The following is a 12,340-nucleotide window of genomic DNA, read 5'->3' on the forward strand; positions in this document are numbered from 1 at the left end:
GGGGAACATCACACTCTGGGGACAGTTGTGGGGTGGGGGGAGGGGGGAGGGATAGCATTAGGAGATATACCTGATGCTAAATGATGAGTTAATGGGTGCAGCACACCAACATGGCACATGTATACATATGTAACAAACCTGCACATTGTGCACATGTACCCTAAAACTTAAAGTATAATAGTAATAAAATAAAAAAAAAATTATCTGCCTGTGTTTGGTATAGGGATCAGTACTATATGCAGTTTCAGGCATCTATTGGGGGTCTTGGAATGTCTTTAGCTCAGATAAGGGAGAACTACTGTATATTTTACAGGTTCAGAAATAAGCTCATAAGTAATTTTTCTGGATTTGAACCCAATCTACCTAAATTCAAAACCGATTCTTTTAGCCACTACACCATAATTTGAAGGATTATTTGGGATTAGAATGGGGATGGCAAAAAACAAAACAAAACAAAACAAAACAAACCAGTGAAATGTTTGGGAGAAATGTTTTATTTTATAATGTAATCATGTGAGCTCTCTTGTGCTTATGAAAGAAAACACTGTGGTATGAATTATGAGGGCAGGGCAAACCAGGTGCCCACTATGCTTACTATGCCTCACTGGATGCAAATAGCCTGAAACACATTATGTTATGTGCTCTTGCCACTGCAAAAGAAATCTGGCTGAGCTTGTTTTAATATAAACAGAGAAACTAGTGATAAAGCTGTGGCTAACATATCACATTTCATTTACTTCTCACAATTTTAGATCAGCCAGACAGAAATGAAGTTTTATATACACATTTGTGTGTATTTAACAGAACCCTAAATAATAAATATGATTAAGCATCTTAATTCTTTAAGATTTGCTTTTACATTAACAACAAAGGGGTTACATATAATGGATAATCCAGAATATTTAAGTTTAGACTCTCAGGTAGAAGGTACGGGTCAGATACTGTGTTCTTTCTTTTTACCTCTCTTTTCCGATCCTGACCCTTCTGTCTGTTAAGTGAAAAGAGATACATTATAGTTCTGGGAAATCAAAGTATAAACCTCCAATTGTCTCCATGACAATGGACCTGCTAATTGGACAATGAAGTAGCTATTTCAAGCCATTCTTCCACCAGTTAATCCATGGCTGCTAGCAGCAGAGAAAGGCTCTATTCTAAAACTTTATGCACCACTACTAGGCTCAGATTGTTCTATGAAGTTTCTCAGTTGAGCTAGAGTTTGGTAAACATGCTGTCACCTATTTTGAAGAGATTCTAATAATGAGATACCTATTCCAAAGGATCCTTGGATATTTCCTCACAGCATTTCTTCTCTCCCATTACCCAGGGTGTGTGATTTTTTATTATAAATATATAGATATGTAATCATAACCTTTTTAAACAAGGACTAGATTACAAATTTTTTTCCAGAAAAGCATAATAAGGAACGATATACTAATATGAGAATGAAATTAAATTTTGGTTAATTTTAATGAATAAAAAATAATTTGTTTATTCCAAGTGATTTTTGTCCAGGATTAAAATGATTTCCAGGAAATAGAAAGGCTAATAGCATTTTCTGAACCTTTCTAGGCATAGATAAGAGATATAAGACCAGATTGGCTCCAGATATCATTTCTTGGTGGGGCGCTTTCAAATATACATACAAAAAATGATGATGTTAATTTTAAATGACCTTTCCTGGTCTCATTAGTATCTTCTGTCTGGTCCATTTGGTAGAAATTAGTAATGGCTTTGGTCTGGGTCCCAGTATAGGCAGTGTGGGATAGGAGTAGAGCTGTGGCTTCAGCCAGTCACAACTAGGATCAAATCCTAATTGTGTCACTTCCTTAAGTGTGACTTCACAAAACTGACTGAACCTCTCTTTAGACCAGTGTCCTAGTATGGGGATAATAACTTACTTGAAGAACTATGGTAAGGATTTAGAAATAACACATATAAAAGTGTGTGGCAGAAAAGAGATAATCAGTGTGTGACAGCTACAATTTTAAACAATTAAGCAGCCAGTAAAAATTAAATAAACTCCTTTCTTTAACATACTTTTCTTTCTCTAGCCTATGTATACCAACTACAATGGCAACTATGGTAAAATAGATGTCTGCGCAAAACTAAAAGAAATTTACTGCTCAAAGTTTGTTAGTGTGAAAACATTTTTTATATAGTTTTTCTTTCTTTTTGAATTTCACTGAAGGAGTTGTGTAGTTGACTACATATATTAACATGAATTTCTTACTCTTGGCAAAGGAGGCAGAGAAGAGGGAAACTATTTAAGTGAAAATTTGTCAACCTATGCTATCTGAAAGAAAAATATTTTTTTAAAAGTGGAATTGGGTACAGTGTTTTAGATCACTTTCTTTTTTTTCTTTTTTTTGAGACGACATCTCACTTTGTCGCCCAGGCTGGAGTGCAGGGACCCGATCTTGGCTCACTGCAATCTCCACCTCCCGGGTTCGCGCCATTCTCCTGCCTCAGCCTCCCAAGTAGCTGGGACTACAGGCGCCGGCCACCACGCCCTGCTAATTTTTTGTTTTTCATTTTTTGTATTTTTTAGTAGAGATGGGTTTCACTGTGCTAGCCAGGATGGTCTCAATCTCCTGACCTCGTGATCCGCCTGCCTCGGCCTCCAAAAGTGCTGGGATTACAGGCGTAAGCCACCGCGCCTTGCCTTAGATCACTTTCATCTGGGTGGGAACATGAATATATTCATGAAAACGGCACTTCCACTGGCAAGAACTTCAGTAGGGGAGATGAGAAGGATAGGGCTGTGGACAGAAGCAAGAAAATGAGTAAGGCACTAAAGGAGGAAAGCACAGTACATTAATTGGGGATAGAGAGAAATTCATGTTGGCTGAAGCCCTGTTTTCCCACCTGGGGACTTCGGAATTATTCAAAGTGATCCATGAATACTTACATACATCAGGTATTGTTTGTGGACAGAATAAAAGTTAAACACATGCAGGTGAATTCGTTTCTTAGGGCTGCAGTAACAAAGCACCGCAAACTACAGGGCTTAAAACAACAGAAATTTATTCTGTCATCGTTCTGGAAGCCAGAAATCAGAAAACAAGGCATCAGCAGGCTCATGCTGTCTCTGGAGGCTCTAGAGAAGAATCCTGCCTTGCCTCTTCCTCGCTTCTGGTGGTTCCCGCAATCCTTTGCTTTTCTCAGCTTGCAGCTGCTTAACTCCAATCTCTGCCTATATCTTTACATAGCCTCCTTCCCTGTCTTTACATCATCTTCCCTCTGTGTGTCTCCTCTCTTTTTATGAGGACATGGACATATTTGGTGAAGGGCCCACTCCACTCCATTATCTCATCTTAAGGTCACATTCACAGGTACTTGAGGTTAGAACCTGGATGTATCTTTTTGGTGGACACAATTCAACCCAAAATGGTGTGTATATGTATTTCAAATATATGTAGATGTGTGATTTTTTAAGTGAAAATTATTTAAATAGCATTATTAACTTGAAAGTAGCAGTTCATCACTGTAAATTTTCTCAATTAATGGATATTAAAGGAATACATCTGTCAGGTAGGAGTCTAACAGTCTATAATTTTTTTAATGATAAAAAGAGTTGTACACACTGAGAAGGGTTGGGATCTGTGGTATAGGGTTCCTGTGGAAGAGAATGAGATAAAACTAGCAAATAAGCTAAAGTATGAAGTGTCTTTGGTACCGATAGGACTTAATTTCTTAGGCAAAGAGAATTACTGGTGATGTTTTCACAGATGCAGTGCATGTATGTAGAAGCTATTGTGATGAATACAGTAAAATCCTGGACCACTAATCTGTCCATCAAGGTGGAACGTTAGGAAGACTACCATGTAAGGATGAACTGGAGAAGAGTGAGTGTGGAAACAAGGAGACCAGGTATGAAGTGACTAGAATCTAAATCAGGATGACTGCAGTGAGAATGAAAAAAATGAGATGAATGCTAGACCCACTCCCACGAAGAATGGGCAGAGGTATGACAATTTAATGGTGAATAAGTATGTGTGCATGGTGCATTTGTATGCATATTTATGTGATGTTTACGGGTACATGTTTGCATTAGGCTGCTTGTATGATATCTAGTTCATTTATGATTCCAGAATACTTATTATTTCAGTACCATTTGACATTTTAAAATTACTTGCTGATAATTTTCCATGTCTCAACACAATCTTTTCCTAAATGAAAGATTCAGAATCACTCATTTCAATTAGTTTAATTTTTGGCATACAAATATGTATTGGTTGGTAAGCTTCAACATTTTAACCATTCCCAAATTGGGTCAACTTAGGATACAAATATAGAATTTCTATTTTGTGTTTGTGTTCCCTCTTTAAGAGGAAAATTAGTGGAGCAAAAAAGGTAAAAGAAGTAGTGGTAGTTGGAAGAAACTGACATTTAAGTTTGATGAAGAAATTCTAAATAGACACCTAGAGAGGCTAAATGAATTCAAGTCCCCAAGGCAGGACAAATTGCATCCACTGATCCTAAAACAATCTGAAAACTAGATCACTGAACAACTCTCAATGGTCTTTGAGGAGTCATAGAGAACTAGGAGTGCCAGAGGATTGAAGTGCTAAAGGCAGGGTGAGGTTAATTCTCGAAAATCCATAGCAAGTAGCTTAATATCTCCAAAGCAAGTAATAATACTTCACATCAATATATTTTCATTTAATTTTGCTCAGATACAGAAACAGAGAGTATCCAGACTGCAGCTAGACAGTTGTCAAGGTCCCTTACGGTATCCTTTGGTAAAGCCAGAGGAATATGTGTGCTAGTTATCAGCACACTATGGTAGCTAATTTATTATTGAAGGAGTATGCTAAACAGGTGCTTATAAACAACTTAAATCAGTTTTCAAACTTTTTGACTACAATTTGCAGTAAGAAATACATATTACATCATTACCTAGTAAACATACATATGTATTTTTATGTACGTGTGTGTAATTAAAGCAGATCTTATAAAATGGTACTTACCCTTACAAAATAGATTTTGAAATTTCTCATTATGTGTGTTTCTATTCATTTCATTTAAAAAAAACCCTGTTGGTTGCAACCCACTAAATCAATTTCATGACTCCCTATTAGGATGGGACCCACAGTTTGAAAAACGTGAATTGATTCAAGCAGAGTGATACTGGTGACTGCTGAGCTGTTTTCATCCTGTTCAATCAACATTTGAATGGAGGTATAGAAGGAATGCTCCCAAATTTACACATAGACTAATAAGACAATAAATTATTTGCATGATATAATCAGGATTAAGAAATTCCTAGCAGATGAAATTTAATGGATAATTAAATAGAAAATTTGTATTAAATAATCTTTTTTTTTTGTTTTGAAACAGAGTCTTGGTTTCTTGCCCAGGCTAGAGTGCAGTGGCATGATCTCTGCTCACTGCAACTTCTGCTTCCCGGGTTCAACTGATCCTCCTGCCTCAGCCTCCTGAGTAGCTGGAATTACAGGTGGCCACCACCACACCTGGCTAGTTTTTGTATTTTTAGTAGAGATGGGGTTTCACCGTGTTTTCCAGGCTGATCTTCAACACCTGACCTCAAGTGACCCACCTGCCTTGGCCTCCCGAAGTGTTGGGATTACAAGCATGGACCACCATGCCTGGCCTTAAAATAAAATTTAAATTTAAATTGATATGTTCAATTTTGTACTTATATCTCAAAATCTACATGTAAAGCTACAAATTGTAGATATGCTGCTGCTAAAAAAACAGTAATAACAAAAGAAAACGCCTTAGTTTTTCAGGTCGATAATTATTTCATGCAGAAGCTATTGTGATTAATAAAGTAAAACTCTTTATTAATCCTAATTAATCCTGATGGTCTAATCTGTCCATCAAGATGGACCTTTACGAAGATTACCCATGTAAGGATGGACTGGAGAAGAGTGAGTGTGGAAAAGAGGAGACCAGGTATGAAGTGACTGGGATCTGAATCAGGGTGGCTGCAGTGAGGATGAAAAAAGTGGGATGAATGCGAGACCTATTACCAGGAAGAATGGGCAGATCTGTAACTAATTTAATGGTGATAATAATTTCAATATGAGAGGAGAATGGAACCAAAATTATTTGAGAACCTACTACGTGCCAAATGTGAATCATTACTACATTACACGAATCATTAGTGTCATGTTAAGAAAAAAATCCAAAACCAAAACAAACCAAACAGATCTAATTTGATTTGGGGCAACATTAACAGGAGCTATATTGCTAAAGGTTGAGGGTGAGGTAAGAATTTCCCTCTGTTTTATACAGGTCTAAACCCACATTGAATTTGGAGTATTCTGTTCAGATAAAGTTTAGAGGAAAGCAAGAAATGTGTTCTTTAAAGAACAGGTGAAGGAAACGGGAATAGTGTGGAGAACGGCTGTTTCCATCCATTCATTTTTGAACATATTTATTCAATGTAAATTATGTCAGGCAAGGTAGGTGCAAAAAAAAAAAAAACCCAAAAATAATGACACAAAATAACTGTGGGTATTTTCCGGCAGCCAATGAAGGGAAACATTATTGATTGCCACTTACTACTACATTAAGTACGTTAAATGTATTAGCTCCTTTAATCCTATAAAGTAGTATTATCATCCTTACTTTGGGTTGAGTAAACTGAAGCTTTGAAGCTAAAGTCATTTTCCCAACATCACACATATAAGTGGTGGTGGAACTAGAATCTAAATCCAGCTTCCATTGAATCTGGGGCATGACTTCTCAACCTCTCTGCAATATTGCTTCCTGAAACTCAGATTCACAGGTTTCTTATCTTTGAATGATTGTCCTTAGGAAGTATGGGTATGCAAAAATGCATACAAAATTAATATTCACCACATAAAATATATTTTTTAATCTGGAGATTTAAAAATATACATATTGGGTATCTTCTATTATTATGTAGCTTTTCTTTCAAAATATTGTTAATGTAAATGTAAAGTTATTTGCACATTTTCCGGGAAAAGGTTTTGTAGGCCAAAAAGAAATAGACCTGTTGACTTTTCTGAACTTTATGCTTTTGGGATGGTATGGAAGACATATAACTGTGCAATTATGCAGACTTGTATGTGGTTATAATTGGTATTACATGTGTTTATAGGTCATGCAACACACATGCCTGTATACTAAGGACACAAAGACACATTGACTATATGCTAGCTGCTCAGCTGAAATTATTTTATGGAATTCTTACTTCCCTATGAAACACATATTATCATTCCTACTTAAGGAACCAGGAGACTGAAACTCAAATAGCTTGAGTAGACTGCAAAGGTAGTAAGTTGTAACTATGACTCAAAGAATCATGCACTTTCCACAGTATCATAGCGCCTGCGAGGAGCTGATTGTCTACTGGAGAAAGATTTTTAATTGGTAAGCTCTTTTAAATATCTCTGAAATTGAATTAAGTAGGCAAAAGAAGTGGAGTTTTCCTACTTAGAAATGGTGATATTATCTTTACCCACTCACTATCTTCACTAAGAAAAATGAGCAGAAAAATACAACCAACTGCATATACATACTACTTAAGAAAAAATACAAGAAAAATCAAAATGGAAATGTTAAAAATGATGTTAAGCTATTCATTCAGAAAGGAAATAGAAAGTTCAGGTTGTCACTGTCTCTCAAAGTACTCATGCAAGAAGTCTAAAAATAGCAAAAGGTAGAACCTGCTGCCATATAGATATATGCACAGTGGGTAAAAAAACTTAGTGTGACAACCTTTCAGTCTAGATTTATGTATTTTACAAAGATATCATTTTAAATTTGCAAATGAAACAGTACTCTTAAAAGCAGATGATACTCACTTGGGACAGACAAAAATGTAGTAGAAGGATATAAACGTTACAGGATTTTTCAATTATATAGTATATCTCAAGTCATACTATTATGACTTGTATGTTTTGTAAATTTCCCGTACAGTTTCAAGCATTCTAGCATTTTATAATTCAATTGCCATTTAATTTAAATGGACATGCTAGTTACCACTGCTTTCAGAAGTGTTTGCTTAACTACTTTAACAATTCAATCACTTTGGTGCAAGTTTAAACAAACAGACATGCAACCAAGAATTCATCCTAAGTACTGGTTTTGAGGAACTTTTTTATAACCTGTGGTACTTAGAATTTTACCGTGTTCCCATATCCTGGGAGTTAACTTGACTGGCAGGTCCAATTAAATATGAATAATAACAAAACTGATTATGGTGGATTTGTATATTGACCTTTTTCATTTGAGAGGACAATTAAAACGATCTGAATATACCTCAAGATACCTAATATTTCTGGTGACTTGCAATAATCTTTATTGAAAAGGGAAGACCTCATGAAATATTAAAGAAAATTATATCATTCCTTTCAAGGAACAGTCATGCCTATTTAGTTTTAATTCAATACTAACAGCAAGATTACTGTGTACATTTTAATTTTTAAAAATTAAAGGTTTATTTTTTGTCTCGTATCTGTGCAGACATAGATATGTACTTTTCTCACAGACAAGGCTGGCAGTGAGAATCACCCATGTTTTTAGATAATTTCGAAAGTCCTCTGAATTGTACGTGCCTGTGAAAAAAGGAAACATTAATAATTGGCATCATACCTGAGGATTGTCAGGATTTTGAAAGTGTGGGATTTGTCGTTCCCACCAAACTACCCCACAGTGTCACACACTGCAGTCTTTTTAGGCTGGGAGGCGAGTTCAAGAGCTGTTTGTTGTTCCGAGCTTGATCCAGAGAGGATCACTGTTTGACAAGTTCTATTTTAAGTCGTGCCTGAGTGTGCAGGTGTCAGCCTCTTTCATGGCTGTAGAAAAAGCACCATTACACTCCGTCTGTATTCTTCCCCCGACAATGCAGGATCGCCCCCCCGCCCCCCCGCGCGTTTGTTTCTGCTTTGCCAGCCACTTTTTCTTTGGGAAATTCTAGGGAGGGCAGGCGGACAGGACTGCGAGGAAGGGCGAGGAGGGGCAGAAAGAGGTCGTCTGCCACTCCCCTACCTTACAAGGCACGTGGCACTGGCAGTAGCAGCAGCTGGATGCAACAACTGAGATGAGGAACCTCCTCCCAGCAAGAGGATATTGAGAGAAGGAGGAGGTGGCAGCGAAGGCAAGACATGCACACTGTGTCCTTCCCCAAAGGGAGAATCCGCCCTCAAGGGAAAAACCACAAGGAAGCCACTACCCGCCCCGCCTCTGCCAGCTTGCCCCAGTGTCTGGCAGCAGTCCCCATGCACCTGCTCACCTGTCTATCCGTTCGGGGTGGTTGGGGGAGGGACGAGGGGTGTCGGGGTGGGTGGGTGGGAAGAGAAGGAGGGCAGGGCAAAAGAGGGGGTGCACCGAGGGCTCCGCCCCCCCGGAGGCTGTGCGCAGGCGCAGTGGCTGCTACCGCAGGCAGGGGGCGGCAACATGGCGGAGTGAGCGGCGGCGTCGGGGCTTCACAACAACAGTGGTGGCCGTAGCAGCGGCGGCAGCAGCGTCAATAGCATCGGCCACAGCCTGAGCTTCAGCACCGGCCAGCGTCGTGGCCAGCTGCTCGCGTCCTCGGGCTTCTCGGAGCGGCTGCAGCATCTCCGCGGGGGGCGGGCCGGGCCGGACAGACCGGGAGAGGGAGAGAGCAGAGGCAGCGGCGGCGGCAGCGGCAGCGGCAGCGGCACACCTGCTGGGCGGGCACAGCCGCTTGCCCGGCAGCGGTTAGCGGTACCGCCACCGCCGAGAATAAGCCTGCGGATCCCCCGCCGCCTCCGCGGGGGAGAGCGCCGGAGCGGGCCGGGCTGAGGCGCAGGCGGGGAGCGGGCCCGGCGCCGCGGCGCTGGTGGATGCTGGGGCTCCGAGGCGACGGCCGGGGGGCGGGGGCCGAGGCAGGTATAACGGTACCGGCGGCGGCAGCGCCGCTGCTCTTCCCTTCTCCTCAGGAGGGGGGCCAATGGCTAGCGAGAAGCCGGGCCCGGGCCCGGGGCTCGAGCCTCAGCCCGTGGGGCTCATTGCCGTCGGGGCCGCTGGCGGAGGCGGCGGGGGCAGCGGTGGTGGCGGCACCGGGGGCAGCGGGATGGGGGAGCTAAGGGGGGCGTCCGGCTCCGGCTCGGTGATGCTCCCCGCGGGGATGATTAACCCTTCGGTGCCGATCCGCAACATCCGGATGAAATTCGCAGTGTTGATTGGACTCATACAGGTCGGAGAGGTCAGCAACAGGGACATCGTGGAGACGGTGCTCAACCTGGTAAGGAAAAGGCGTGCTCTCAATCTGCTTCCCCAGTCCCCACATACACCGTCCCCAGCGCCTTTCCCTCCCACCCTTCACCCCCAGGGTCACACGCGCCGCGCGTCCCTGGGAGCGCAGAGCGTTCAGCCGGTATTGCCCAGCGGGTGACCTGCCTGCGCGCTGCTAGAGCCACGCCACCTCCCTCCTCTCCTCTTTCTGGTCCTCTCCTGCCACCTGAGCGCAGTGCCCAACTTAACACCGCTTCTTCTCACTTTTTAGGACCGCGAGTAACCCAGTACCCGCGGTGAAGGTTTTGGGTCGACTTTAGAGTTTAGTTAGGAGGTGAGGAGGCCTCCTGTTCTCTGGGGTTCTTTTTCTCACACTTAATTGTCCTTGGTGTCGCTCTCCGAGGATGACAGCCTTGCCCCTGGAGCCTAAATTCCCCCGTGCTGCTGAAATGTGAGAAGCGCATTAGCTTCCAACTTGAGCAGCTGGGGTGTGATGTTTTCGAAGGAGACAGAAAATGATGCAGTTTTGCATCTGTCTTTAAATATTCCAAGGCCATGATGGAGAGTGTTGTGTCTGTATCCATCCCCCTCCATCTCAGAAGCAGCCGTCCCTTCTTTGTAATATTGCCCTGAATATACTGATCTCTTAGTCATTTTTTGTGCACACAAGGTGTGTGAGGACACCAAATCACACAGGTTGATTTCTGTGGTTACTTTCAGTAGTGTGGCATGTGGGTAAAGACTAAAGGAAAGGTTTTAAACGCAGCCCTAGGTTTTGGTTCCTTTCATGGTAAGAAAGAGTTACTGCAGAAGTGTGTATGACTTAATGTTTTGCGCTATCTACAGAGAGGCTCAGAAGCGTTTAAGATGTCAGGGAAAGAAATGGAAAGAAGGAGAGGAGAATCATACATTGAGGATAATTAACAGTAGTTCATATTTAGTGCTTTGTAAATGGAGGTTTTGTTTTGTTTTGTTTTGTTTTTAAATGCAGCCAAGCTTTTTAAACAGTTTTCTCTGCAATAGATCTAGTCTTTGACATACTGTAAGGTTGGGCTTTGGGAGGCAAGACATAAATCGAGAGCAATCAGTTGAGTATTGTATTTGGTGTGGGGTCACAGGAATATAACAATATGCTTACAGGGGTACTTTGTAACACCCATGCAGTCATTTTTCAGCTAAGCAATTATTTTTACTTACTCTATTGGAAAACTGAGAGAAAGCTGCAGCTACATCAGTGGTGTCCTGAGACATGCATTAGATAATGTCTACGGTTTATGAACCTCGTAAATGCACAGAAAAGTTGAAGCTGTTTTTTTCCTTTTGCTAGTGTGTCAGGTCAAAGGAGATTATCTGTCTTTGTTATATTCATTGCTGTTTAAAACAAAACACCTCTTTTTACTTTTTTGTACCTTTCAAATAAATCATCATGAAAAGTCAGTGTAAGTTTGAGGGAATGTCACTAAGTTGATATAACCAAGTTCTTTTCAGAACACTACTAGAAATACAGTTTTCTTGAGTTTTAATTTTAACTAGCTGCAAATAAGAGGTCAGTACTTGCCATTTCTTTTTAAAAGAAGATAAATCTCAAACTGTTAGTATGTTAGCAGGTAACTGTATTTCTGTAATTTAAAGGAACACATTTTTAGTTGCAGTTTTGATCTAACCAATATCATTTTTAAGTTAGATTATATTAGGCTATTTTAGTAAGTATTCCTATGCTTACTTAATACATTTTAACCTGGTAAGAGGCAGTAGAGCTTTCACAACCTGGAAACTGATTTGAATGTATAACCAGTTTGGACTCTGCAGCAGTAGCAATGTGTGCTGAATCAGTTCTTAACAGATGGGGTTTTTTAGATATACGGTAGACTAAGAAAGGAAGTGAAATGTTTCTCTTGAGATAAAAAAGAAATTTAACTCTTCAGAGCAATGAAAATCTGACATGAAGTTTCAGTATGCAGACGTTATTTTAGAGAACTTTACCATTAAGCTTAGAGTCACTAGAAATAAAGTAATACTGAGATAGTATATCCCCAAATCTACCTAAGATTTTGTAACTGCAATGATATTTGGAATTTAAAGAGTTAGGTTTAAAATTTCTTTGTATGTATTTAAAGAATGCAATAGATTTTTAAATAGAAACTTT

The 12,340-nt window shown here is 40.4% G+C and overlaps 1 protein-coding gene and 1 long non-coding RNA gene across 13 annotated transcripts in view, besides 5 other annotated features; one reads left to right on the forward strand and one right to left on the reverse strand.

Annotated features, from left to right (window-relative positions):
• Positions 2,024-2,533: an enhancer, noted in NCBI's record as "H3K4me1 hESC enhancer chr13:35509071-35509580 (GRCh37/hg19 assembly coordinates)". NCBI's record gives its function as "activates a minimal SCP1, AML or CMV promoter by ChIP-STARR-seq in primed H9 embryonic stem cells {active_cell/tissue: H9 hESC(primed)}" and the evidence as "EXISTENCE:reporter gene assay evidence [ECO:0000049][PMID:30033119]".
• Positions 8,411-9,280, reverse strand: LOC124903231 (uncharacterized). Its single transcript, XR_007063908.1, has 2 exons — positions 9,230-9,280; positions 8,411-8,792 (listed from the first exon to the last, which is right to left on the reverse strand). It is a non-coding gene; the product is annotated as an uncharacterized LOC124903231 (long non-coding RNA).
• Positions 8,942-9,051: an enhancer, noted in NCBI's record as "active region_7586". NCBI's record gives its function as "activates an Ori minimal core promoter by ATAC-STARR-seq in GM12878 lymphoblastoid cells {active_cell/tissue: GM12878}" and the evidence as "EXISTENCE:reporter gene assay evidence [ECO:0000049][PMID:35858748]".
• Positions 9,222-9,291: a silencer, noted in NCBI's record as "silent region_5259". NCBI's record gives its function as "represses an Ori minimal core promoter by ATAC-STARR-seq in GM12878 lymphoblastoid cells {active_cell/tissue: GM12878}" and the evidence as "EXISTENCE:reporter gene assay evidence [ECO:0000049][PMID:35858748]".
• Positions 9,360-12,340, forward strand: part of NBEA (neurobeachin) — a 730,467-nt gene continuing 727,486 nt past the window's right edge. For all 12 annotated transcript variants that reach the window (XM_047430271.1, NM_001385012.1, XM_006719803.4 and 9 more), the window contains exon 1: positions 9,360-10,204. Coding sequence is in view for 11 of the 12 variants with exons in the window: in NM_001385012.1 (NP_001371941.1) it covers positions 9,911-10,204 (294 nt within the window). In the remaining variant the exon portion in view is untranslated. The remainder of the gene's footprint in view (positions 10,205-12,340) is intronic.
• Positions 9,732-9,851: a silencer, noted in NCBI's record as "silent region_5260". NCBI's record gives its function as "represses an Ori minimal core promoter by ATAC-STARR-seq in GM12878 lymphoblastoid cells {active_cell/tissue: GM12878}" and the evidence as "EXISTENCE:reporter gene assay evidence [ECO:0000049][PMID:35858748]".
• Positions 10,911-11,000: a silencer, noted in NCBI's record as "silent region_5261". NCBI's record gives its function as "represses an Ori minimal core promoter by ATAC-STARR-seq in GM12878 lymphoblastoid cells {active_cell/tissue: GM12878}" and the evidence as "EXISTENCE:reporter gene assay evidence [ECO:0000049][PMID:35858748]".

This window comes from Homo sapiens, chromosome 13 (assembly GCF_000001405.40).
Source record: "Homo sapiens chromosome 13, GRCh38.p14 Primary Assembly".
In the NCBI taxonomy this organism is placed as follows: domain Eukaryota; kingdom Metazoa; phylum Chordata; class Mammalia; order Primates; family Hominidae; genus Homo; species Homo sapiens.